The 25,651-nt window shown below is 33.8% G+C and overlaps 1 protein-coding gene and 1 long non-coding RNA gene across 7 annotated transcripts in view; one reads left to right on the top strand and one right to left on the bottom strand.

The window, feature by feature from the left end:
• Positions 1–13,227, top strand: part of PTPRK-AS1 (PTPRK antisense RNA 1) — a 58,429-nt gene extending 45,202 nt beyond the window's left edge. Inside the window, exons 4-5 of the long non-coding RNA NR_125849.1 lie at positions 10,605–10,743; positions 11,838–13,227. This is a non-coding gene — a long non-coding RNA (PTPRK antisense RNA 1). The remainder of the gene's footprint in view (positions 1–10,604; positions 10,744–11,837) is intronic.
• The window catches only part of PTPRK (protein tyrosine phosphatase receptor type K), a 551,815-nt gene that overhangs the window by 104,282 nt on the left and 421,882 nt on the right, over positions 1–25,651 (bottom strand). For all 6 annotated transcript variants that reach the window (NM_001291984.2, NM_002844.4, NM_001135648.3 and 3 more), the window contains 4 exons: positions 16,624–16,926; positions 10,649–10,758; positions 9,371–9,572; positions 5,747–5,852 (listed from right to left, as the gene is read on the bottom strand). In NM_001291984.2, the coding sequence (NP_001278913.1) occupies positions 5,747–5,852; positions 9,371–9,572; positions 10,649–10,758; positions 16,624–16,926 (721 nt within the window). The remainder of the gene's footprint in view (positions 1–5,746; positions 5,853–9,370; positions 9,573–10,648; positions 10,759–16,623; positions 16,927–25,651) is intronic.

Raw genomic sequence — 25,651 nt, forward strand, 5'->3', positions numbered from 1 at the left:
TATGATTTGATATTATACTGTTAAAAATAGTTTTTTAGGTATATGTCTTTCCTTTAGCAGATGATAAGCTTACTACAGAATGTGGCTGTTATATTTTTAGATCCAGTTCATTTGTTCACCAAATATTTATTGAGTATCTGTTACATATCATGAATTATTTTAAGTACTGAGGTTAAAATAATGAAGATAGTAGCAAAAGTCTCTGTTCTCATGAAGTTTACATTCTAGTGGGGAGACACAAATAAAAAAATAAATTCAGAAAACCAACACATATTAAGAAGGGATAAGTGCTCTAGAGAAAGATAAAGCAGGCTAAGGGAAAGAGGGAATGATGGGAATGCAGAGTGCTATTTTATATGGGTTGGTCAAGAAATCCTTATGTGATAAAAGTATCCGTTGGGCAGAAATCTGAAGAAAGAGAAGATTTATACTACTTGGGTACATGTATAATCTCTTCCTGCATAACATATTACCCTGAAATTCTGTAGCTCAAAGCAACAAACATTATCTCACAGCTTCAGTGGGTCAGGAATTCCAGAGTTGCTAAGCTAAGACAGGTCTGGCTCAGGGCTTCTCACAAGGTCATAAGCAAGCTGTGGACTGGGATTCTAGAGGCCAGAAAGAAGATTTAACAAGAAGGGCATACTTCCTCCTATTTTTGATTAGAAAAATTATAATGATTCTACCTACTATGATTCTAGAGAATAAACATAAAATTAAAGTAACATCTATTTGATCTAATTGGACCATATGACCTTTATGCCCATAAAAGAGGGCAAAAAGATTATTTCCATCTCTAGTTAAATTTCAAGATGGTTTTATTTGGAATTCAAGTAAGCTCTAGGTCAGGATAGTGGTTAGGAAAATTAGAACTATTTGATATCTTTAAATTTATGTAATGAAACAGACTATTCTGCAGGTGGATGAGGATAGCCCCAGATTTTAAAGCTATGCAACCCTAACATACATTTGTCTGTTAAGCTATCAGTGAACTTAGAACATCAGACAATTTCTTTTCCTAATTTAACTGTGGAAGAAATGGTGGTTTTGACTTTATTTCATGACTATATTTTAATTATCAAACTAAATAGGTGGTGCTTAATGTTATGAAATGCAAATTAGATGTTCTCCACAAAACAAAGTAACCTTAGAATGGGTAGCTTCCTGCAGCGCAAAATGGGTAGAGTTTCTATTTGGAAAATGCTGAAATAAAATATATATTCATTTATTAACTTTACAATAAACAGTCTCACCACAGAGAAACTATTTTGTGTTTTTACAACATGCTGCTGTTATTTTCATTCTTTGAAAACACAGCTATATTGGGTCAATCTTTTAATAAATGGGACGTTCTATGCATTATAATTTGTAATTATATTTTCCCAGGTTAGAGTTTTAATTCATTTACGAAGAAACCTTTTAGAAAGAAAAGAAAAGGAATTATGTATTCTAGGGAATTGATTCTAAATGTAGACAATATTCATTTTGAACACAGTAATGATTGTCAAGTGATGACAGTTGTAAGGATAGATCTCAAAAAGTTGGTAAGGAGATTCAAAGTTCTACTTAAGTCAGGCAACAATGTTCAGTTTTTAGAATGATTATAAAATCAAAAATTAATTTCGTCAAAGAACCACACTTGCCAGCACTGCATCGCACATGTTCTACATTAGCATAGGGAAGCAGTAATGGGTAACAGAAGGACAATGTGGTTGGTGAAACTTAGTGCTGCATTATGCAGAATGGGATTTTTCACTGTGGTCATTACTTCTTATGTAAGCACAACACCATGATCTCTTAGAGATTAAAACTTGGTGAAAATATTGGTAAGGTAGGCAAAATATATAAAATAACTCCTCTTTTCATAGAGAGAGCATTACTTTTTTGATTTGGGGTAGCAATACTGAAAATATTTATCACTTAATAACCTCAAAAAACAAAACCTTGAATTCTGAGATGTCTTTTTGCTCTGCTACCACTTCAAATATAAAAGCTACCATCTTCTCTCACCTAAAGTCTCCACTCAAACTCCCTTCCCATGAAGCTTTACACATCCTACTGATCTAAAACCTTATGTAGGAGCCACAGTCTTACCTGCATTTCCATTGCTACTTTCTTAAAATGGCCCATTAGCACTTCTCACAGGGACTACTCCAGCCTTCTGGATTATCCCCAGTCCATTCTCTATGTTTCTATCAGAGTGATCTTTCTAAAAACGTAAAACTGCCCATGGTAACTTCTGCTTACAGTCCTTCTTGTGCCCACCTTCAGTTGTGGGGCTGGCACTAAACAACCTCTCCCTTTGCTCCCTGTTTTGTCTCTCCAGCTTCAGCTGCTGTCAATTCTCCCACAGACCCTTCACTCTCCATGACCTAGGCTATCTGCAATTCGTAAATGCATCATTGTGACCTTTGGCCATGCTCATTTCTACCTCTCCTCACAAATTCAGCTTTAGTACCACATTTTCTAGCTGTTATTATTGCACTTATCACACAGCATTGTTACCAGTCATTAATTTAGGAGTCTACCACTCACACGGGTGCACATACTAATTGCCTTAAGTAGATTTCTATTTCAAGTATGCAGCTCAGCTCTTGGCACATATAGAATGTTATTGAGTCAACAAATTTATAGAATCCATTGGCGATTTTAGCTTTCCTAATAAAACTAAACACGAAAACTCTATATAACAAGATTTTCTAGTTGGTATGACAGAGGACTGTAGAACTGGAGTTTGTTTGATATTAGGAAGACCAGGCAGAAAGAATACATATTTCCACTGGAGGTGGGATGAATAGATGGTGAAATGCAAAATGGCAGAGGCTAGTAATGCTATAATTAGGGAAGGACAGAACCCAGTATTTAGGGTCTATGACAGCCAGCAAGCTAACTCCTGGATGCTCTCAGATTTAGTTGGATAATATGTAGTTCTGGTTTATTTGGGAAGGTGACAGGGGTGGCAGGGGGAAGGGTCACAGAGTAGAATAGCATCAAGCATTAGCAGAGAAGAGATTTTGACAGACTGACATAAACAAAGAAAAAATTGAGTGGAAAGTAAAATTGCTTCAAGTACATTTGAAGTGAGTGATGGGAATCCAATCAAAGATTTGAGATACCAGACCATAAATTCAATGGTAAGGAAAAATGATTACATTAAATTGAATCTTCATTTTCAAAAAATTAAGGCACTGGATCAGATAAGCCTCACGATAAGGCTACAGTTGCTGGTAGGGAGACTGAAAGTAGGAATGTGGTCAGAGGAAAGAAAGACAGCACAAAGGATTCAGAGGGTAAAGGAGGCAGGGCTCATCTGAAGCCAGATTACTTGACTAGACCATTCTGGTCCCACCACCTGGCACCCACCTGTAGGTGAACTGGGTAAGTCATTACAAAAACTAAAGATGGACTTGGTGGGATTAGCATATCAGTTAGAAAGCAGATTTTATTTTCCTGGTAGTAACATTCACTTCAAAAAAAATCTGTTGTTTATATTATTATTAAATTACTTCTTCTTGTAATATTCCAGGATTTAAATTTATTTTTCTGAGCACTAATCTCCAACAATGTATAATTTGAAGTTCTCAGCCTCTGGCTCAATTCTAGAAAAGGTCAAAAATCTTGCCAACAAATACAAAGATGAGTGTTTCTAATTGGTCTTTAGAAATTATATAAAGGTAATAAAGTAAAAGACTTTAAATTTAAAAACGTGTATCAATAACATACTGAGTTAACAAAATTCCTGAACACCAGCTATGAGCAAATGATTTACAAGGCTGCAGGCATCTCTGATGGTCTATGACAAACCTGGGCAAAGATTCTGTGTTTTGTTGTGGTCATTTTATCTTTGATTTACAATACCTTGCACAGTGACTGGCATAATAAATGATCAATCAATGTTTGTGGAAAAAATTGATTAAGTGAATAAAGAGTTAATGTAAGTTACATTATATAGTACAGTGATGCAAAAATAATAAAAATATGCTGTGTTTGCAACTTACGTAAAATAAAGTTGAATTCACCCAAATATCTAACTCTTAAAAGATAAATGCAAGTAGCTGGTAGCTGATTTAAGCACCAGTAACAGAAGTGAACACCTAAAAAGTAAATTTTATCACAGGTAGGAACATGTGAATGACCCTGATTACTTGTCAATAGGAAAAGATGTTGAGTGCAGGCATTTTCTCTTTCTACTTTGGATCAGCAATCAGATTCACTCACAGATCATTGATTCATGAACAGCACTATATACGTACTTTGAATTTTCAAGTAGCCAGTGTTTCATAAGTGTTTATATTACAAGTACACCCTCAGCCAACTCTTTTTCTCTGGTATAGTGTTCTCATGATTTTTAGCCAGACAAGACTCAAGAGTTCCCTTTATGATTTGTATTCTTTTGTCAATACATTTCTTAAATTAAGAAAAAATATTTCTTCATTTCCAGTGATCTAGGATTATTTTTGGTTATTTGGATGGCTAATACGTGCTCACGAAGTCAAATGTATTCCTTTTACACAAAGAACAAACATTAGTTTTATTTTTAACTGAATATGTAAACGACTTGATATAAACCAATTATGAAGTGCCTACGTGGATTTCTGTGCCTTCATTTATTTCTCATTAGAAGTTTGATAACAAAATGTCCACAAAATCACGTTTCAAATGGAAACTTGTTTAAGTTTTGGATATTCATCTGATTACAAATGTGCAGAAATTAAAATGGTTGTAACAATTTGACTTAGTTCCTAAAAATCACATGGCTCACAATTTTCTGAAAGATGGGGATGTTAGATAATATGAGACTTTACTGTTGAAAAGATAAAGAAAATGGCAAACTGAACATTCAATTTACTCTGGAATACTTGATAAGGAACAATTCGGGAATTAAAAGGTCAAAAAGGCTTCATGTGTTCTAACTATTCTGCTTTTATTTCATCAAAGCTTCTTATTTTTCAATCATTCATATGAAATTATTCATAACTGATTTACTGCATTGGACAGGAGTTATTTTCTCATCCTATTTCTGACAAATATCTTCAAAGCTCTTATAACATAGATACCAAGAGAGGACGTGAAATGAAATGGGACTAGAGGGGGGAAAAAGGCCAATGCTCTTAAGTCAAACTGCACAGAGAGGTGAATGGTTCAGTGCATGAATATCTCAAAAATGCCCTTAGAATTTTGCTCTTAACTACAAGTCTATCTGCAGGCTTTGTCCAAATGAAAAACTAACAAACCAAAGGAAACCAAACTAAACTAAACAAAAATAAAACTCTCCTGACAGAAATTCTCCAATGAATGTATCTTTGAAATGAACCACTTTATTAGCTGCTAAGCAACCTTCTGGCTCCTTTTTCTTTAACTCTTACAGTAAAAGAAAAACTACCCCCCAACCCTGCCTACCTAGTTTCTCATATCTCAGTTTCAGTTACCCGTGTTTCAATTACCCACCATCAAACTCGTCCAAAAATAGGTAAGTACAGTATAATAAGGTATTTTGAGAGAGAACATAATCACCTTTTATTAAAATACATAGTTGTTCTATTTTATTATTAGTTATTGATTGTTGTGAATCTCTTACTGTGCCTAATTTATAAATTAAACTTTATCATAGGTTTGCATATATAGAAAAAAACATAGTACAGTCTGTATAGGGTTTGTTATCATCTCTGGTTTTAGGCATACTTGGGCATCTTGGGATGTACATACCTGTGGATAAGGCAGAACTACTGTAGTTTTCTCCTCTTACCTGATAGGAGCACCTTTGGCTTGTGCTGGTCTCAACAATACAGTTATTGTGGTGGCAGTTTCATTGAGAGAGGCATCAACTCCTTCATAGTCAGGTAAAGTTGGAGCTGATGAGTGATTAATGAGATAAAAAAGGTTCAATTAATTTACAGTAATATATCACAGGTCAGAATGAACAGACAATCTTAAGTTAGGAAAAAAAAATTCACCTAATTATCTACAACGTATTTTGTTTTATAGCATAACATCTCCAAATGAATTTCAACTCTGGGAACTTAAAATATCAAAAGCTAGAAAACCAAGATTTGCTGTGGAAATTTAAATAATCGTCTGGCAATTTATGACACACATTCCAAATATTTTGTGAAGATGCTTTCCTTTTAGTTTCCTGAGACCTTCAAGTGAGTAATGATGGGAGGGAGGGAAGGTAGTAACTGAGAAGACTGGGCAGTAGTGCTTATGGAGTCACATATGGCGATCAGGAGCTATGAACAGCAAGAGCTGAGGTCAAGGGCTACCTGGTGAAACAGTGTCGTTTATGATCTTATAGTGTAGAAAGACACAGTACTCTTATGCTAATGTGTTTTTCACAACTCTGGTCACAAGAGAAACATACCAAGAAGTGTGGTAAATGATAATGGACATCTTAGCTTTTGTTCATCAGGGACATTAGTTGCCAGATTCTTAAAAAGAATAAATTTATAATTTTTTTAAATATTTGATAATGCTTAATTAGGGACTAGGATCTTGAGGGGGAAAAAGAGTTACCTCAAATAGCTTTGGATGACTTTCATGTAGAAAGCTGTTTAAGGAGTATATACTCAATGAAATGTGTGCATTATCTCTATCCATTCGTTGAACATTTACTGAATATATACTATGTGCCAAGTTTTATGAGAAATGCTATGAATATAAAGACAAAGCATGGTCTCTGATATTTAGAATTAAAAGTAGGAATTCACATTTTATGAAAAGTAAGAGTCTTACAAACAAAAAATTATAGCAAAATGTTAGTGGCCAAAAGTGGAAGACCATTTGCCAAAACAGTGGTTCTCAAACTTGTAAGATCAGAATCACCTGGAGGGCTTTCTAACACACAGATTATAGCCCCTCTACCCTAGAGTTTCTGATTCAGTATTTCTGGGGAGGGACCTGACAATGTTTATTTCTAGACAGTTCTCAGGTGATGTTGGTGATGATGGTCTGGGGGTGGGGGGTCACACTTTTTTCATTAGTATTGGCAGTGGGGGGATGAAACCAGAAGGCTCAGGGTGTCTAATGATGTTTAAGCCAAATATTAAAAAAAGGGTAAAAACTCATCAGGAAGAGAAAGGATGAACTAAAATTCTGAGAAAGGAAGCAGAATATCTGAAGATAACAAAATATGAAAGGGCATGGTACGTTTTAACAGCTATAAGCCGTTGGCTGTGCCGGGAACTTTGGGCTCATGGGGAGAAGTAGAGGATGGGAGGAGTCATGCAAAGAAGGACCCTGAATGCCAACACCAAGTGGATCTTTAGACTTCATCCCGCTGATTATAAGATACAAGATTGCGAAAATATTTAAGAAGGAAATATCTGTGGATTAAAGATAGATATAGAAATGCAGTGAAGATGGGTAAGTCTGAAGGTAGGGATACCACTTAGAAAGATATTTCAATAATCTGTTTAAAATACTGTCTAGATGGAAGAAAAGGAGCAGTGACATTAGAAGATTAATTATTATCTGAGAGTTTTTTAGGAAGCAGAAACAACAAATATTAATTTAATACATGCACAATATGTAGTATGTATGTGTGTATATGTGTGTATGTGAATGTATGTGTATGTATAAATAATTCCCCCAACAGTTATGCCTGCAATAACTTGATTTCACTGTTATTTAAATTATTTTTTTAAATGCTGAGAAATGTAATTACCGGACTCAGGGAATAAATTTGACAATAAATTATCTGAAAAGTTCAAGTAATGATGAGAACCACACTAACCATAAATTTATTAATCTTAGATGTGATTAATAATTGTTCTTAACATAAAGTGATTGCAACCAAGTTTTTAAAGTACAATCAAGTACTCATTGCACTTAGGTTAATACAAGTAAAAGTGAAGTTGAATAATTAAAAGAAAAAATCAGATGGATGTTCTGGTCTTTTTTATAAACTTTATGTTCAACACAAACACAGTATCTGAGCCTTGAGAGACATACACACACACACACACAAACATTTATGGCTCTCAAAAATTTACATTTGTTCAATGTTCTCAGTTTTGTTAGTTTATATAAATTTTGTAGCTGTCTCTATTGAAAGATCTTACTCAATTATAGCACTGCTGCTAATTCCAGAGGGTAGAAAACCTATCTCAGTGCATCGTAACATCACCAAGTCTTATTTTCTGGTAAAGTGATTCAATACATATTTTAAATTCATGATTTGTAATTGTTCTCAGGAAAGAAAACTGCAATTTTAAAACATTGTTATTTTATAATATAATGGATGATACTTTAATTTTTTATTGGAATATTAAGATAAATCAAATGCTCTTCCAAGGAATTATAGCTCATAATGGAATAGCTAATTTTATTCATGATACAAATTTTTAAAGTTTGTATTATACTCAACACGTTTGCAAGTAACATTTTAGACTCAAAATAATTTGGAAAGTACATGTCTTCCTTTTAATGCAAATGGTATAGATTAAAAAAATGAAAGACATATTTTATGGGTATTAATGATGTATCATTAATATTTGCCATGTGGAACTATAATAAAAATGAACACAAATGAACAAAAAGAATTAACAAAGTCAAAATTTGTGCTTTACTACATTGTGTGGTTGACCTTTAAATAATTTATTTTTCAAATTTAACTCTTCATTTACATATACAATATGTATTTATTTTAGTAATCTTAAATAAGAAAAAACATTATATAAACTTTAGTAGATTTAGGGCATACTACAAAGCTAACTCCTTGCAAGAATTTAATCAGGTTTAACTGATGATCTGACTGAAGGAGAAATAAGCTCTGTAAACAATCTAGTCAAATACAAACTGTGCAACTGTGACTACAATAGAATGTAAAGTTTAATTTCTTTATCAACCTAAAATTCTTCTGTACGTTCCCATTTTAAAACTTATATGTATTTATATAAGATTTTTAAGTGTGAAAGAAAAGCCCATCTTTGTTTAAAATTATCATAATGTCAGGGAAAATGAAACAGAAACAAGGTATGTAGTACTATAATACTAGAGAAAGGATCTTCTACCATTTTTTTGATAACATTCATTTAGAGTAAAGGTCTGACACCATAATAATTATCAACTCTTCAAAAGTATCATAAGATCTATTAGGATTTATAATGAATTTTGAAAGATTTTTAATAAAGATTTAGTATAATTTTTTTAAGACCACTGTCAATCAAAAGTGACTATTTCAGATGTGTTTTGGTTTGGACATATAATTCATATTCAAATAATTATTTAAAGTGCTTTCATTTATGCATAACTATATTAAAGGTTCAACAAGCAAGATGAACTACACTTGGTTTATATGTGATTCTCCAGGATGTGCCATTACAAACCAATGGCATAATCAATCCTATTTGTAATTTATTCATTTGCATACCTGAGATATTGGTGGTGACATTGATGGCTGTGGCTGGACCAAAGCCTTTGACCGTGCTGGCTCTTATGAAAAACTGGTACGTGGTTCCAGGGTGGAGATGCATAAAGACATGGTGTGTACTGTTCCATAAATTTGATACAGTCTGGGGAGGTCCAGCCACTGGAACTGCAGGATCAAATGATCTTATACTGCTATAGCTGATCTGTTTTAAGAAATACATTTATTACATATCTAGTATCCATCATAAGAAACTGTAAATAAACTCTGTATAAATAAGGTAGTATGCAAGGGCATCCATGTGGAGTCAATGGTAATTTTTTTCTTCTTTTCTTTCTCATGTTGATATTGTTATTTCTGTCATTCTGAAGTTCTGTCTATATGTCAATCAATCATCTATCTACAGATACACCGGAGTTATAGCTGACCAAATCAATATACATCTATTTTCTTCCATCAAAAAAACCACAATAAATTATGCGTACATAAAAAATCTTATAGCCATATACTTTAATGCATATGAAACACAGAAAGTGTTTCAACAAATTTTTATTATTATTAACATATTCTGTACTTTGTTCAAGTTATATAACAAATTTCATGTAAATAGTATTCAAATATGTGAACACAGTTTCAAAATATAACATTGTACTAGTGATTCTCATTTCCATAATTCACTCTGTAGCCATTAGAAATTTAAGCATTTATGATCTAATCAACGCTATGTAGGAACAGAACTACACATTTGTGTAACTTAAATGATTCTTTCATTTCTTCTTTTTTAGTTTCTCATATTTGAAAAGATAATGTTTTATATTCAAAGTTGAAATGAAGCTCTAGAAAAGTCAGCTTTATAATCTATTTTGCTTTTTGGGTATTATTCCTTACTCTGAAACAACTGAAATTCAATGGCTTCTCCTAAATCACAGTATGATAGGAGTTTCTTAAATTTATAAAAAGGAAAATGAGGGTTTTTTAATATGTGATTATTACTATAACCATCGTAAATCTGATAATGACTATCCTGCTTCCCTAAATCAACAAAACAGCAACAAAAAACATGCATTTTTTAAGAATTTGAAAATTCTAGATGCCATACAAAATATTTATTTTGACGCTTAATTTTGGAATCAAAGAATCTGTAAATTAAAACAAAGGAGAATGATTTTAATCCCCTAATCCTCATTTACGTCTTTTCCATATTTCCCTCTAACTTTTCCTTTCTTCTTCCTTTTAGTCCTTCAATCCACATTTCAATTAACTTCCTTGTTCTCCCAATACCTCATATTGAGTGATGATTCCATTTGGATCCAAAGGTTCTTTCCAGTTCAAGAAGATCTTATTTTCAAAGGATGTTCCTTGAAGAGATTTTACTGGTACGGGACCAGGCACTACAAAACACATGAATTTTTTGTTATGAAAATGCTTACATTAGAAACAGAAAAAGTAAATCAGATAAGCTAGATAAACAGGATTAAAAATAAATATAAAGAAAAATAAATAAAAATGTGTCCTTAAAAACAAAATAAACTATATGACTAGTTCTCTGATTTTACTTCGATATATGAGAATTTAAAGCAAGTCTATAAGGTTCTGATGCAGAAAATGTAGAAATGCAAAGTTATTTTTATTCAAAAGAATATTCTATCACCTTAGAGAGATGCATAAATTATGTAGTCTAGTTTCCTCTGTTGTATACCTCTAATAACGTGAGGATCTTATTTGTAATTTGTTTCAAGAACAGAGCTGTATTTCCCCAAAGATTTTTTTGAAGATTATGCAAATCCCCCAAAGAGTCTCCATAAACAAAGTTGATAAATAATAAATTACGATAATAATTAACACTCTTTGGTCTGGAAAGCCGAATCACATAGCAAAATGAATTGAAATGTCCATTAATAGCCAACCTTACTTTTATAGCTATATGTATTAAATGTTCTGTAATTTTAAAAAGGCAGTGTTGATTATTACCATATTTAAAGAGTTATTACAGATGGATAGGTTCAAATGTCACTGCTTCAGCCTTTTAAAGGAAATTCACTTATTCAAAGGTAAGAATCAAACTAGTTTATAATGTCAGACTTGTTTAGAACTCAACGATCTGCACAACTACTTTGGAAGTGTCCTCAGCTATGACCATATTTGAAGAGCCTTTGCTTCAGTCCTTATTTGCAAATGTCATATAACTGGTCATACACAATGACAACACTGAATGATGCACCAGCTTCTATTGACAAAATACCAGATAAAAAATTCTTTCGCTATCGTGTATTTTCCTTTTATATATTTTATTTAAATACTTAGCTGCTATTTATTCACATGAATATCCAATTTCTAGTTCTGATAATATTTTAAAATATATAGTATCTATCCTACTTGGCTAAAAAATGTGTTTCTTTTTGAAAATATCAACTGAATATTGGGCAAGCATAGTTTTTAATTAATATTTTCCCTTAATCTAACGTTTCAGTGAACTTCACACATGACATTATCCAGAAATGTAGTTTCAAAGTATATAGCAATTTTGTGAGGATTGAAATAAATTAAAAATCACTGGATCAAGGGAAATACATTGCATTGTGGCTAGGAGCATCAAGAAATTCTGAATGATATCTCACGAGAGCAGGATTTATTTCAATCTACAAGGAGACTATGAATGATACTATGACCTCTGAGACAGGCAACATAATTTGATACATTGAGGAAAGAAACCCACAATAAACAGAAAATATGCCAGCACTAAACTTTAGAAGATATGTTCAAGCCATTGTCAGCCGAAGACTATGAGAGAAGTTAACTGAATGCATCCGCTCTCTCCCTGCTCCACAGTACCAGCAAGGCTGTGCAGCTGATCCAGACAGAGGGCCAGTGAGAGCCCCTCTGCACATCTGTGTCTATTGCTAAGGCTGCCATGGGCATTGGTTTGTCTTGCAAGAGTACCTGTTGTTTCCATTATATGCAAATGACATACACTTATGATTATATTGAAGGAAAAGATATTTCTTCATCCTTACGTATCTCTCATAGAAGGTGGCTAATGGGGGAAAAAGGGAGCAAAATATCCAATTAATGAATAAATGTTGATTTGATGGCATTGTAATTATAATAACTGCCTATGTTTACCTAACACAATTTAGCCTACAAATACCATAAAATGGCATAGATTTATTTTATCGAACATCGTTCAATAATAGGGATGGTTTAAAATATTTGTATAATTCTACATTGAAAAAGGAGTAGAATTGGGAAGTACCTTCCCTAGAAGTTTTGTATTTCTATGCTCTTACAGTTTTTCTGTTTTGACAATAGAATTCACTACAAGTACCTATAGATTGCATTTGTAAGACAAAAGTTTGTGGCAAAGTTGTGGACAAGAGAGTGTCATACTACTTGTCGTGTACTTGGATGATCATAGATGAGAGAAGGAACTATACTTAGATGAACTAAAAGACACACACAAACAGGTGAGGTGAGGTGTGAGCACAAACAAAGTAGATTCAATAACTTTCTACATTTGAAGGAAGATCATGTGTACAATTATAGACAGAAAATGTCTCTCTGTACCTATGATTTGTGTAAATACTATATGAAGTTACTAAAACCATTATCATGGCAGTCTACTGATTGCAGGGAATGTCACTTCACATTTCCACATCAACAACTTTTAATGGAAACAGAATGCTGACTTTTGTTCCCTTGCCTGAGACTTATATGACAGCTATTTCAGCTACTTTTTTTGAAAGTCCTTTATAATATAACTCTCAAAATGGAAAAGAGAGTGGAAATAAAATATGGGTGGGGCAAGATTATATTAGATAAGCATTATAGCCTTTAAAATGTAATAAATGTACTTTCAAAAATAGCTTTGTAGTCTCAAAAATATGTCCCCAAACCAGGCTTTTCTGCTGAGCTAACTTTATAATATTGATTTTTTGAATGCTGGAATAAAAAATGAAAACAAAACCTCATACAGAAAATTCTGTTCGTCCATTAAAAAGTGTATGCAATAAATTAAATAGAAATTCTACCTTAGGGTTCTGGCGGGAAATGGTTCTAGCTTTGCTCTCATGATTTATGGATGTCCCAGAATTCTTTTTATAAAATTATGTCCTTTTATTAGGTGGCTGATAATTTATTCTTTTTCTATGTATACAGGGCAGCAATAATTTAGTAACACTGACTTAATCAGATCATCATAATCCATCGATCTTTCCAACAACAGATTATGATTTAGATATTCTTTCCCTGCTCAGGAACATTAAGACACATCAAGTATTCTATGTACAAAGTGAAGCTCACATGCTGATTTGAAGACAGAGTTACTTGCAAATACTTCATGGAAGAGTTTACGTATCAATCATTAAATATTATATATTAAACAAAAAGAAAAAATTACGCTCATAGTAGAAGGGATTAGTTTGTGACAATACTATGAAATAATAATACGAAACTTAATATAATTAAAACTGGAAAAATTATTCAAAACAGAGATTAAAATAAAACTAGGATTGAAAATGATATTAAAATTAGAATTTAAAATATTTCAAAAAATAGTTAATGTCATTGTATTTTTACAAAACTATTTTAGATAAGATAAATAGTACAGTCATGAGTTTGATCAATGTAGGGCATAATTTAAAATTCCAAAGCAACTCATTCCTTGATTATTAGTCTAGTCATATTTATACTGAAAAATGCATTTAAAAATTTAATGCAATATGAAAAAGATTATATAAGCCTGGCTGCATTCTTTTGTTTGTGGGAAAGAAGGGCAAACTAACAAACCATATCCAAAAATACCATCAAAATGAATTCTATTACTAGAGAGTGACTGGCTAAAGCAGCACAAAACTATGTAACTGAGTCTACCATTACCAATTAGGACATGATTTTTTTTTTAAGGGTAGGCAATAAAACATGTGAATATACTTTAATAACTGAACACATGGGCTACAAAGTGCCTAGTGTGACACAGACCTTATAACATTTATCCCATTTTAAAAGAAAAGATAGAAATTTTTTGGAGCTATTGAATCTGTAGTTAGACTTCTCATTTTTATTATGTGCCTATGAAACAATTACCCCTAATCATTCTTTCTTGCATAAATATGCATTGAGTTGTGTGTGTGTGTGGCAGGGGTAAGATATAAGGATATTTGTGTGTTTATTAATTAGGAAAGGGGGTGTTGTTTAAATGTTGTTGCTACTTCAATTAGGTGCCAGTTCAAACATGATAGCTAAAGTAATCATGTTTGGTTACCTCAAACATGACAAAAGCACATTCATCATAAATAAGTCTTAAATAAGTCTTAGGTTTATTCTCAGAAATTTTAGGAACATGAGTAACTCCATGTATAGTTTCCGAACTATATTGCTTCCTTCAAATTTTGAGCTAAATGTGGTTAAAGGGCTCTCACTTCTCTTATTACAACAAAAACAGCAAGGCACATGAAATGATGGTCATTTCCACTTTCAGAGTGGGAGAGTTTGAAATTATAAGTATTTGTAAAAACTATGGCATAATAACCTCTTTTATGGCAAGCTAATAGAAGGTAGGCACCAAAAGACACACCTGATCTAAAATTCAGAACTTAAGGGAACTTGGGAATACGTGGTTATAAAAAACATTCTGTTTTATGAAACTCAAATAAAAATGTAGCCCCGCTGGGCACAGTGGCTCACGCCTGTAACCCTAGCACTTTGGGAGGCGGAGGCGGGTGGATCACTCGATGTCAGGAGTTCAAGAGCAGCCTGGCTAAGATGGGGAAACCCCATCTCTATTAAAAATACAAAAGTTAGCAGGGCATGGTGGCAGGTGCCTGTAATCCCAGCTACTTGGGAGGCTGAGGCAGGAGAATCGCTTGAACCTGGGAGGTGGAGGCTGCAGTGAGCCGAGTCGAGCCACTGCACTCCAGCCTGTATGACAGAGTAAGACTGTTTCAAAAAAAAAAAAGAAAAGAAAAGAAAAAAAATGTAGCCCTACTGTCAAGCTACTTAAGAAGAAGTTTAGAAGGGGGTGGAACCTCAGAGATCACTTAATTTAAGCCCTTCATTGAAAGATAAGAACTGACTCCTAATTTAGCTTTGCCTCAGTTCACCATATGGCACACTTTTTTTCTACATGCCTTAATTCATAAAAGGAAATTTTGAAAGGAAATATCTTACATCCAAAGAGTGACTTATTGTTATTAGATTATCATTTGCAGATATTTTTATATGTTTTTGCTAAATTAGGAAATATATTATCAATCAAATTATAATATACTGTAGTGCTATAACAGGTATGTGAACATTAAAATACTAATATAAATATTTGTTCATATTATTTATCAAGAAGTAACACACAGAAATTAGACAAAGTACAGTTTAGTTACTTGGATGGCAACAAGATACATAAAGAACAGCTTGCTAATGTCTAATAAAGGCCATTATATTAGACTTACAGATATGAACTGTTGCTTGCTTTTATATTTAGACTCACATAAAACCATCTAAAATGAATAGAAAGGGTAAGCAGTATAAACAGTGTTGTTTCCTTTTTTCCTTGAGACGGAGTTTTGCTCTTGTTGCCCAGGCTGGAGTGCAATGGTGCGATCTCAGCTCTCTGTAACCTCTGTCCCTGGGTTCAAGTGATTCTCCTGCCTTGACCTCCCGAATAGCTGAGATTGGCAGGCACCCGCCACCACACCCAGTTAATTTTTGGAATTTTTAATAGAGACAGGGTTTCATCACGTTGGCCAGGCTGGTCTTGAACTCTTGACCTCAGGTGATCCACCTGCCTCGGCCTCCCAAAGTGCTGGGATTACAGGCATGAACCACTACACCCGGCCCAACAGTGTTGTTTTCAAATGTGAGAAAAATAAAAACAGCTACTATTGGTTTATAAAATACAAAAACCCTAAGTTTTTTATCAAGTGCATTTTACCAATAGGCAATTGATATAGTGCCATGGAGAGTAAAAATTATTTTTGAACATTTGATTTAAAAAACCCCTTCATTTAAGTTTTTAGTGTAGTTGCCACTTCTGTGTAAGAAGAGAGGACAACAGAAGCACATTTCATTTAGTATTTGGATGCTTGTCTGAAGAATATTAGGTTTTGTAAAAGGCAATTTTTTTCCAAAGTTAATCTCATTAATAACATTTAGATGATTTCAGAATCCAATTCAGTATTGGACAATCTTAGGAAAATCTTAAAGTAATCACATTTTTCTTGTTAGAGAATTCCCCCCTTTTAAACAGCAAAGTATGAGCATACCATCTTCATCAGTTTGAATAATTGTCTCTTCACTCTCCTTCCTTCCCTCTGGATTGGTTAGGATCATCTTGAGGCTGACATTTGTATAAGGTGGCAGATGGTTCACAACATGCTGAGGGGCTTTGGGGTCCATGTCCAAACAGTCTGCCTTGCTCTCGTTGTGACCACGGAAGTAATGGTAGCAGATAGTGACATTAAAAGTGTGGCAACGCGTAATGTTGTAACCCAAGGATTCCCAGTCCACAGCAATCCGTCTTGCCTGTATTTCAGCAATCTTTAATGTCTTTGGGGTTCTCATAGGTTCTGAAAAATAAATCAGAGTTGTAGACAGCTGTCTATTATATCATGAATAATCCTGGAAAAATAAAACACCAAGTATAATATAGCATATGCAAATCTAGAAAATGTGGAAGTCATGTTTTATTTTCCTTTGCTTTATTTATTCATGATCCTATTCTTGAAGGTTTCAATCAGGGACTAAGATTTAACAACAGGAAAAGAAAAGAAATATAAAATGTCAACAACCCACGGTACTCAGGAACTTGGCAGAAAAATAAAAACCTGAAAATGTAGCCGCCATGCATTTATAGTTGTTGCTGTTGTTACTGCCCAATTCTCTGCCTTTCTTTTGTCTTTATTGAGCAAGTGAATCAGCTAATATATCAAAATGGATAAGACTCAACATATTCTACTCTGTCATTTATCATGTCACTAAGCTATGCTGTATACGAATTATTCTAATTGTAACAATAATATACTACCATTTACAAGAAATGACACAGATATTAATTAACATTAATTATTTCTATAATGATGTTGTTCATCAAAGCAAAAAACAATGGAGAAAAATTACAAGAACATATGTAGATATTCACATTGTCTTCTTTCCTTATTGATCTCTGTCTTTTTCTAGAAAACATTCAGGTCTAACAATCCTTTCATTGTCACCCAAACCAAACTGGGAGGTGAATTTTCCATTCAACTGGAAAATACTGGCAGAACTAAAGACTCCAAAGACTAGAATCCATCCTTCACTGCTTCCCAAGTGTATTCTTTCCTCATTCAAGACTAACTTGAATCATCTAACTTAATCAACGTAACTACTCTATGAAACTCATGGCCATGGCAACATCTACAGAGTAAAAAAACTAACACACAACAAAAACTTTAATTCATTGATTTGATAAAAAGAAAAAAGTCAAGGGATTTCCGATGCCTCTCTTAACTCATTAAAGATAGTCAAATTCTTGCTAAATGGAAATCAGTAGGGAAAATAATACAAAAAGTCTGACTTGGGGGCTTTCATAAATTTTTGTTTTTGAGATTAAAATCACAGTTCTGTAAAAACAATCAGCATGCTAAACAGATGGCAAGCCCAAACTGGGATTCTAGTTCAATATATTTAATGTGCAATCTGAAATGAACTCTGGTGGCCATTTAATTTAAAATCTTAGATTACAAAAATCTACATATGTGCAAATTTATCTTCGGTAGAATCTAATGCTTAGGTTTTAAATGTTATTTGCCAGTCTTATGACTATTCACAGCATCCAGACTCCCAACTTCACCACTTTCATTTCAGACGTTACCTGAAGTCCACAGGTTGGAAGAAAGACGAGGCTTTCTAATTATTTTAAAAATCGTTTTATATGTTTAGCTCTATGCTAAGATTTTCCCCACCAGACACAAGAGTAAAGTGATGATACTTTCAATTTAGTCCAGTTAGACCGAAAACACAGTCTTTGCTATGACTGCCCACCAGCTAACCAGGCAATGAGAACTAGGATCATCCTAAAAATTCCCAGATAAACTGTGATTTTGCTGCCTCCTAGGTAGCAACTGGATACTGTTTGGTAGCCATGGCAAGATTCAGCCATATCTTGTTCTAAAATTATACAGAATGAGAAAGTAAGATTTCCCATGAAAATACCTAGAGTATATGAGCAAACAATGCCTATACAGCAATGAGAGAAACACCACAAATATTTAACCCGCTAATTCTTTAATTTTTTATTTTTTTTAGGTCTAGCACTTATACACTTGTTTTAACACACCCCTCATTTTAAATCTGACATTTTCCCCTTGTATAAATTTCTCTATTTCTAAGTCATCACTCTCTCACGCCAGTTCTTTTCATTTTGTCTATTTAGTCCGCACTTACTCTGCATTTTAACACTATTTTGAAAGCATACCTAGACATCTTACACACTGTAAAGAAGACAGAGTAGCTCTGCATCCTCAATTCTTACATATCTAAGAGTGGGCAAATGATTTATTTATTATCTGTTATGCAGAAAATGGATAGGATTTACTTTAAGTGATAATTTTGTTTTGGTGTCTTTAAATGCTGCTTACTTTGGCACTCATTGTATTAAAAACTCATTTAAAATTGGGATAGAGTAGCTTTATTAGTCCTACACAATGTATATAAAGCACAATCATAATTTCAGTGACCAATACTTTATTAACTGATATGGAAAAACAAAGAGTTGTGGAAAGAAATAGCTTTCTAAGAATTGACAAAGTCAATATGTTATTTGAAATTGACATTTTTTTCCACAGTTTGAATGTATGCTTTAAAGGGCCCTGATGTTGATAAAATAGTGACTTAGACATAATTTTGCACTCACTTTAGGATAGTACTCAGAAACATATGAACAACCAAAGTAAACACACACACACAGACTAAAAATCAAAACTTGATTGTTTTGAGCTGCGTGGAATTAATAACTCAGAGGGAGTTACTGTATAACTGTATTTTTTTCTTAATTGGCATGCACCTTAAATTTTTTCAGTTTTTACTGAGGTGGGAACTTCTCAGGGTTGTGTGTATAGATACACACATATACATATACACATATGCAGTACATACATGTACATCTATATGTGTGTATATACACATACATGTGAAAGGTGCTATAGCATACAAACTTCTCTGAATACTATTCACTTAGACATGGGCTGATAACTATATGCACATGCATTTTTATATTAGAATATTTATAAACAGCAGTGATTTGAGATGGTTCTACTACTATAAAATCCATTCAAAGAAATTTTTCTCAAAGATTCCAACAATAAAGTTGCCTAAATTATTGACCTTAATCCATTATTTCTCATACCTAACCAACAACTGCATTGTATTTCTGAGGTATAAATACATAAATAAAAATTTAACATTTAAAATCAAAATAATTACTTGAATTGCCATAGAATAACCGAAAGCAAAAAGATATTGTTTGGAAACCACTGATATTTATGAGCTGGCCATAAGAGCTACTATAAGTATTAAATAACTTCAAGATATAACCTACAGGGTCAGTGACTCAGAGGTATGATAGTAAATCGTATTTATAACAAATAAAAAACCATAATGGTGGTGAAACAATGGAGAACACATTCATGAATTCATTATCTGTCAATCGTTTTGGAATATGATATATGTTCTTGCTCCTCCTCAATTTCCGATTTTCTTTTTTCAAATCTTTATTGGGTATTCCATATATTGTAATTTTATATAACATTTCTTTTTTTGTTGTTTTTTGCATTTCTAGTAAAAAGAAAGAATTGGAAAAGGCTGTAGTCAAAAATTTTATCAGAAACTTGGAAGGAAACAAAGTGATGCTGGGCATGGTGGCTCACCCCCATAATCCTAGCAGTTTGGGAGGCCATGGTGGGCAGATGGCCTGAGCTCAGGAGCTCGAGACCAGCATGAGCAACATGGTGAAACCCCATCTCTACTAAAAATACAAAAAATTAGCCAGGTGTAGTGGTGGATGCCTGTAGTCCTGGTTACTGGGGAGGCTGGGGCAGAAGAATCACTTGAACCCTGGAGGCAGAGTTTGCAGTGAGCCGAGATCGCACCACTGCACTCCAGCCTGGGTGACAGAGCAAGAGACTCTCTCTCAAAAAAAAAAAAAAAAAAAAAAAAAAACGAAAAAACAAAAAAACAAAACAAAACAAAAAACAAAAAAGGAAAAAAGAAACACAGTAATCGAGTGATCTTCATGCAATGAGTGGTTATATTTCAATGTTTAGATCAAGTCATCCATCTATAATGAAACATAAAGAAATTTTATTACTATATACAGTGTACTATCCTAAGTATTCCAGAAGGTACTAAAGTGAATAAAGCATAATCTTAGACCTCAAGGAGCTTCCATTTGTTTATCAAAGATGTTAAGCTAAGAAAAAAAATAAACAATATATTTACAAGTGGTATATAAGTAGAAAAAAATGCTATAGGAATTCAAGAGGGAGAAATAACTTCCACCTTTCAAATGGAGTAGACATTTGTGTTAGGTCTCAATGGATAGAAGCAAGATCTTTAGACCTCATTTAGATAAATAATACAAAAAATGGAAGAAACGAGTTGAATAAAAACGTAGAACACAGTTGGAGAAAATTTGCAATCCCACTTGGTTGCTGTACAAGTATCATATAGGAGATAATACAGGAAAGGTTGGTTGGGAAAAGATGAGGCAAACTTTAGATGTCATGGTAAGAGGCTGAACTTACCTGATAGGCCATGAGAAGTCATTGAGGGTTTCTGAGCAGGAAGTTAACATAGTAAAATAACATTAATAAGATTAATTTGGAGGCTGTGTCAATTGTGGAGACATTGAATGTAGAGAAATCAAAAGAATGTGATGTGTTAGCAGAGAGATTAGGGCTAAGTAAGGAGGGGGACAGCAGGAACACGCAGGATAGGGGCTACTGATGTGGAAGGAAAACTGAAAAACTTGGTGGTTACTTGGATTTGAGTTATGTGAATGGATACAATATAGCTAATGTGTTAATACCAAATGACAAAGAAAATTAAGGTGCTCTTAAATGAACAGAGAAAGTTCAAGAAGAGACACAGATTGGGGGGTAAAATGATCCAATAATTTCTTACTGCTTATTTATTGCTTTCTGTTGGCCAAAAAGTATACTAGAAACTAAGGAGGCAAAGATCAATTTGACAATGTCCCTAGCTGGGAAGCAAGGCATACGAGCAATACTTGAACTGATTTCTGTGTTTTAGATAACTTGGAGAGCATTAAGAAGAGAAAGAGGTCTAAGTGGAGGCATCAGTCTACCTAAGTCAGGAGTTGGGGTACTCCCATCCTTTCAGAGATAAGAGAAAGAAAAAGAGAGAAGGTAATAGATAAGGATAGGGTAAGAGAAAAGAGAGAAGAAGAAAAAGGAGAGGGCAAAAGAGAAATGGAGAGAAGAGGATGCTCTGAGAGAGAGGGAGAAAGAGGGAAACGGAACAGAAACAGAGATGAGCATGTGTTAGTGAGCATGACAGGGGGCAGGTGAGTTTGAAGGGAAGGTGGTGTTAAGCACATATGTTACAAATTCATTCACAAGAGAGGCCAAAGAGAATTGCATAAAATCTAGTGTCTGCCCCATTTTTCAGATAAAAAAAAAAAGAATTGAATGAAAGAAAGCTGACTTTTCTAAAAAGACCCACTAAGTCAAAAGCAGAGGTCAGTACCAGAAACCAGATCTCAAAACACAAAATATTAAGTGTTTGAGGTGATGGATAAGTAGCTTCACTTCACTATTCCCTGTTGTATTCATAAATTATAACACACTTTGTATCCCATACATTTATACATTTATAAATTGTCAACTTATAACTTTAGAAACACCATGATGTCACTTTCTCAGGTCATTCTACTTTTCTTTTTTGAAATTTGTGTTTAGTGTACTCAAGCTTGTCCAACCTACCCCATTTTGTTGTTGTTCTGTTGTTTTGCTTTAGGCTTTTAGCAGCCTGAAGCCATGGTTTTTAGTTTCTGTTTCTAGTGATAAGTGGAAAAGAGGGATGAGGAAGGGGTTCATTGGCCCAACCAGAAACAGAAACTAAGAACCCATGACATGACTGTTTATTTCCCTTGGACACCCCATCAATCAGGGAGTTCAGACTGGGAAAAAGCTATGACATAGGACTAAGCAGAGGAATTAAGAAGGCTGAAGGTCCTGTGTGTTTTCATATACTTGAAGAACAAAGTCAGGGGCTAGGGGGAGTGCAGATAGAACATTAAGAAGCTGGTAAAAGGACTGGAACCAGAAGTAAAATCCAGTGCTCTTCCATTCTACTCTTTAGCTGATGAATCTTGACTTATTTTATTATACGCTCTTATCTACAAACAAAGGCATAAAGCTCTCTTCCATTATTTCATTTCCAGTAAGTCCAAGGAAAACAGTTAACTGTTAAATTAAAAATACATATATTCAATAGGAACTGTTAACATTACCTGGTTTTCTTTATCTTCCCTGTCAAATGTTGATCAGCAAGTTTTACTAACTTTTCCTACTTCTTTTTTGCCTTTTATTGTGCACCTAATTCTTAATTGTTACAGTGAGAAAGGCTACATGAAATCAGGATGAAATATAAAGAAATGTCAGAAAATTTATATATTAAATCTTCAGTATTACATAATTAGCAGGTAAATAAAGAAGTAACATATCACTGCCCCCACTTAAATTCTAAATAGATCAAGTATGGTATTTATGCCTGTAATAACTTATGTGTTAAATGTTTAACCCAACTTGATAGGCTAAAATGAAGAAGTACTTAATAATTCTCTAAAGGTTAATAAAAGTAAAGACAACATGAACAAAAAGAACCTGTTGACTTTGAGTCACCTCTCAAGAGCAAGATGATTTAACACGTGGTTCTAGATAACAGATAAAAGGGAATTTAATTTTGTTTTTGGCACTTGCTAAACAACTCAGGACATGACAGGTCAATATCCCTGTCTTTTTGTAGCGATAATTTCTAGTTATTCTGAAAGAGTTGTGAAAACAAAAGCTTTAGCATCTATAAGAGAATGGAAGGCAGGGATCATATTTCCCTAGAATCAGTTTTTAATGATAAAACTTATTATGCAGCTGTCAGTCAGAGAAAAATAGAAGATGTCCCAAAGCTCGTGCCAAGGAAAAATAAAAAAAAGAAAGTTCTTGTCAAAGATGTACACAAACTAAGAACGCTGAAGCATGACAGGAGCTTCGTGCTCCTGGCTGCCTTTTCATCAGAAATCTTAGAAGCTGACTGCAAAACAGAACTTTCATTCCATTTATCAAAACAAATACAAGAAAAGTGAATTTTCTGACTGCCAGAGAAAATATTTGTTAGTGTAAATAAAAAAGAATTGAGATGAAATTTCTGGACAAAGGTGAAATAAAAAAATAAAAATAAAAGCAAAGAAAACAGTGCTGCACCTTGGGGAAGGAAAACTTAAGGTCTTTGAAAGACATTGTCTTTTACTCTTACCTTTAGGTGCTTTGTAATTTTTATTCTTTTCCTCATGGAAAGGGTTGAGGATAATCAAGGTTTTACATTTCACTTCTTTTCAATGTTACAGCATCATTAGTCTTGCCAAAAAGATTTCATCTCTGCTCCCATGGGTCAAATTGAGTTAATGATAAGTCGGTGAGATGACTTGATTAGTACTGTAACGTGAGGGAGCCTCAGGTCCAGGAATAATCACAAGCCAACTGTCAGCTCTTTAGGCTTTCTGGCTGTGTTGCTGAAATGACATGCTTGGACTCGAGGGATATAAAGTGACAGAGGGTGGATGGCTCACTCAGCTCTCCTGCAGAATCACAGTAATATTTACCCAGTGCCATCAGAACCACACTAAGCACATCATCAATTAAAAACAAAACAAGTCATCACCACTGCTCTCAACACTCTTACTGAAGTTTATCAGATAATTTTAATAAAATTAACACTTGGATCCTCTCTGCATTAATGCCAAGGAAATTGTTTGATTTTAAAGGACAGTACTACCCAAGTGACATGGAAAAAAAGGCAAAGATAATTCTTTTACCAATAGATAGATAAAGCCCACTAAATGTCTTATCATCAGACCTAATTCCCAAAATGACGGTGACTGAAAATTTGGAGACCCTTTAATGTCTTTCACTTAACATTTTTTGGTAATGTTATTAGACTGTTGAAAAATATGTAACTACAATCAATGAATCCACTTCGATTCATCTCTGATATTGCACATCACATTCACATGTTATTTAAATAAAACTTAAAAATAGGTAACTGTCTATACTTGGAAAAATATATTTTCTTAATTTATAGAAGAAAATAAGAAGAGAATAATCTACTTCTGTAGGATCAAGCTTTATTTTTCATAAAATTTTTTAGCAACAGTATAAATCATAGACACAAAAAGGTAGAGTGATTTGTGTACAACCCTAAAAAAATGTAATATGGAAAACACTGCTTCATAATATACAGTGTAAAAAGTAAGGTGACTTTAGAGGAGCTGTACATAGCAAAGACAAAATTCTAAGGGGGATTTTCAATGCCTCCTTTATCCCTAAAAGAAGATAAATTACCTACCTCTTATGTTGTTCTGAAAAATGAGGTAATATTTTGCATGCCAAGTACAGTGGTTGATCCATAGTATATGGTTGGAAATTTTTATTTTCTGAACAATAAAGCAGGTAGTTTCAATATGTTTCAAGCTTAAAAGCTAATGAAAATGAAACCTAAAAACCCAGTTCTCTGTGGCAGTTGAAATAATTCCAATTATTCATTTCTTCTTGTTGTCACACTGTTTGCCATGTGACTTTGCAACTGCTCACACCAAATGGGGTCTGCTTCCCCATGCTTTGATTTTGGCCTTGCTGTGTGACTTGTTTTGGTCAGCAGAATAAGGCAAAAGTGTGGGTGTGCTAGTTGTCAGCCTATATCTCAAAAAGTCCTCTGTTCTCCTGCTTGCTCATACCTCTTCTAGAATATGAGATACATGTGGAACAGAGCCAAGTTACCCGAGTCGTACCAGCAGAAGCCAACCTATAGCCAGTCCATCAGTGGATATGTAAGTCAGCCAAGATCATCAGAGGCTACTAGTCAACCATCCCACAAGTATAATTAATACGTGCCTGCTCTGTGCCACTGATGAGAGTTTGTGGTTAGTTGTTACTCAGCATTTTGAAACAGGCATTATTTCTAATATCTTCATTCGGTAAATTACCTTAATATTTATGTGAAGATTCTATCAGTGATATC

The sequence above is a fragment of the Homo sapiens genome, chromosome 6 (genome assembly GCF_000001405.40).
Source record: "Homo sapiens chromosome 6, GRCh38.p14 Primary Assembly".
Lineage (NCBI taxonomy): Eukaryota > Metazoa > Chordata > Mammalia > Primates > Hominidae > Homo > Homo sapiens.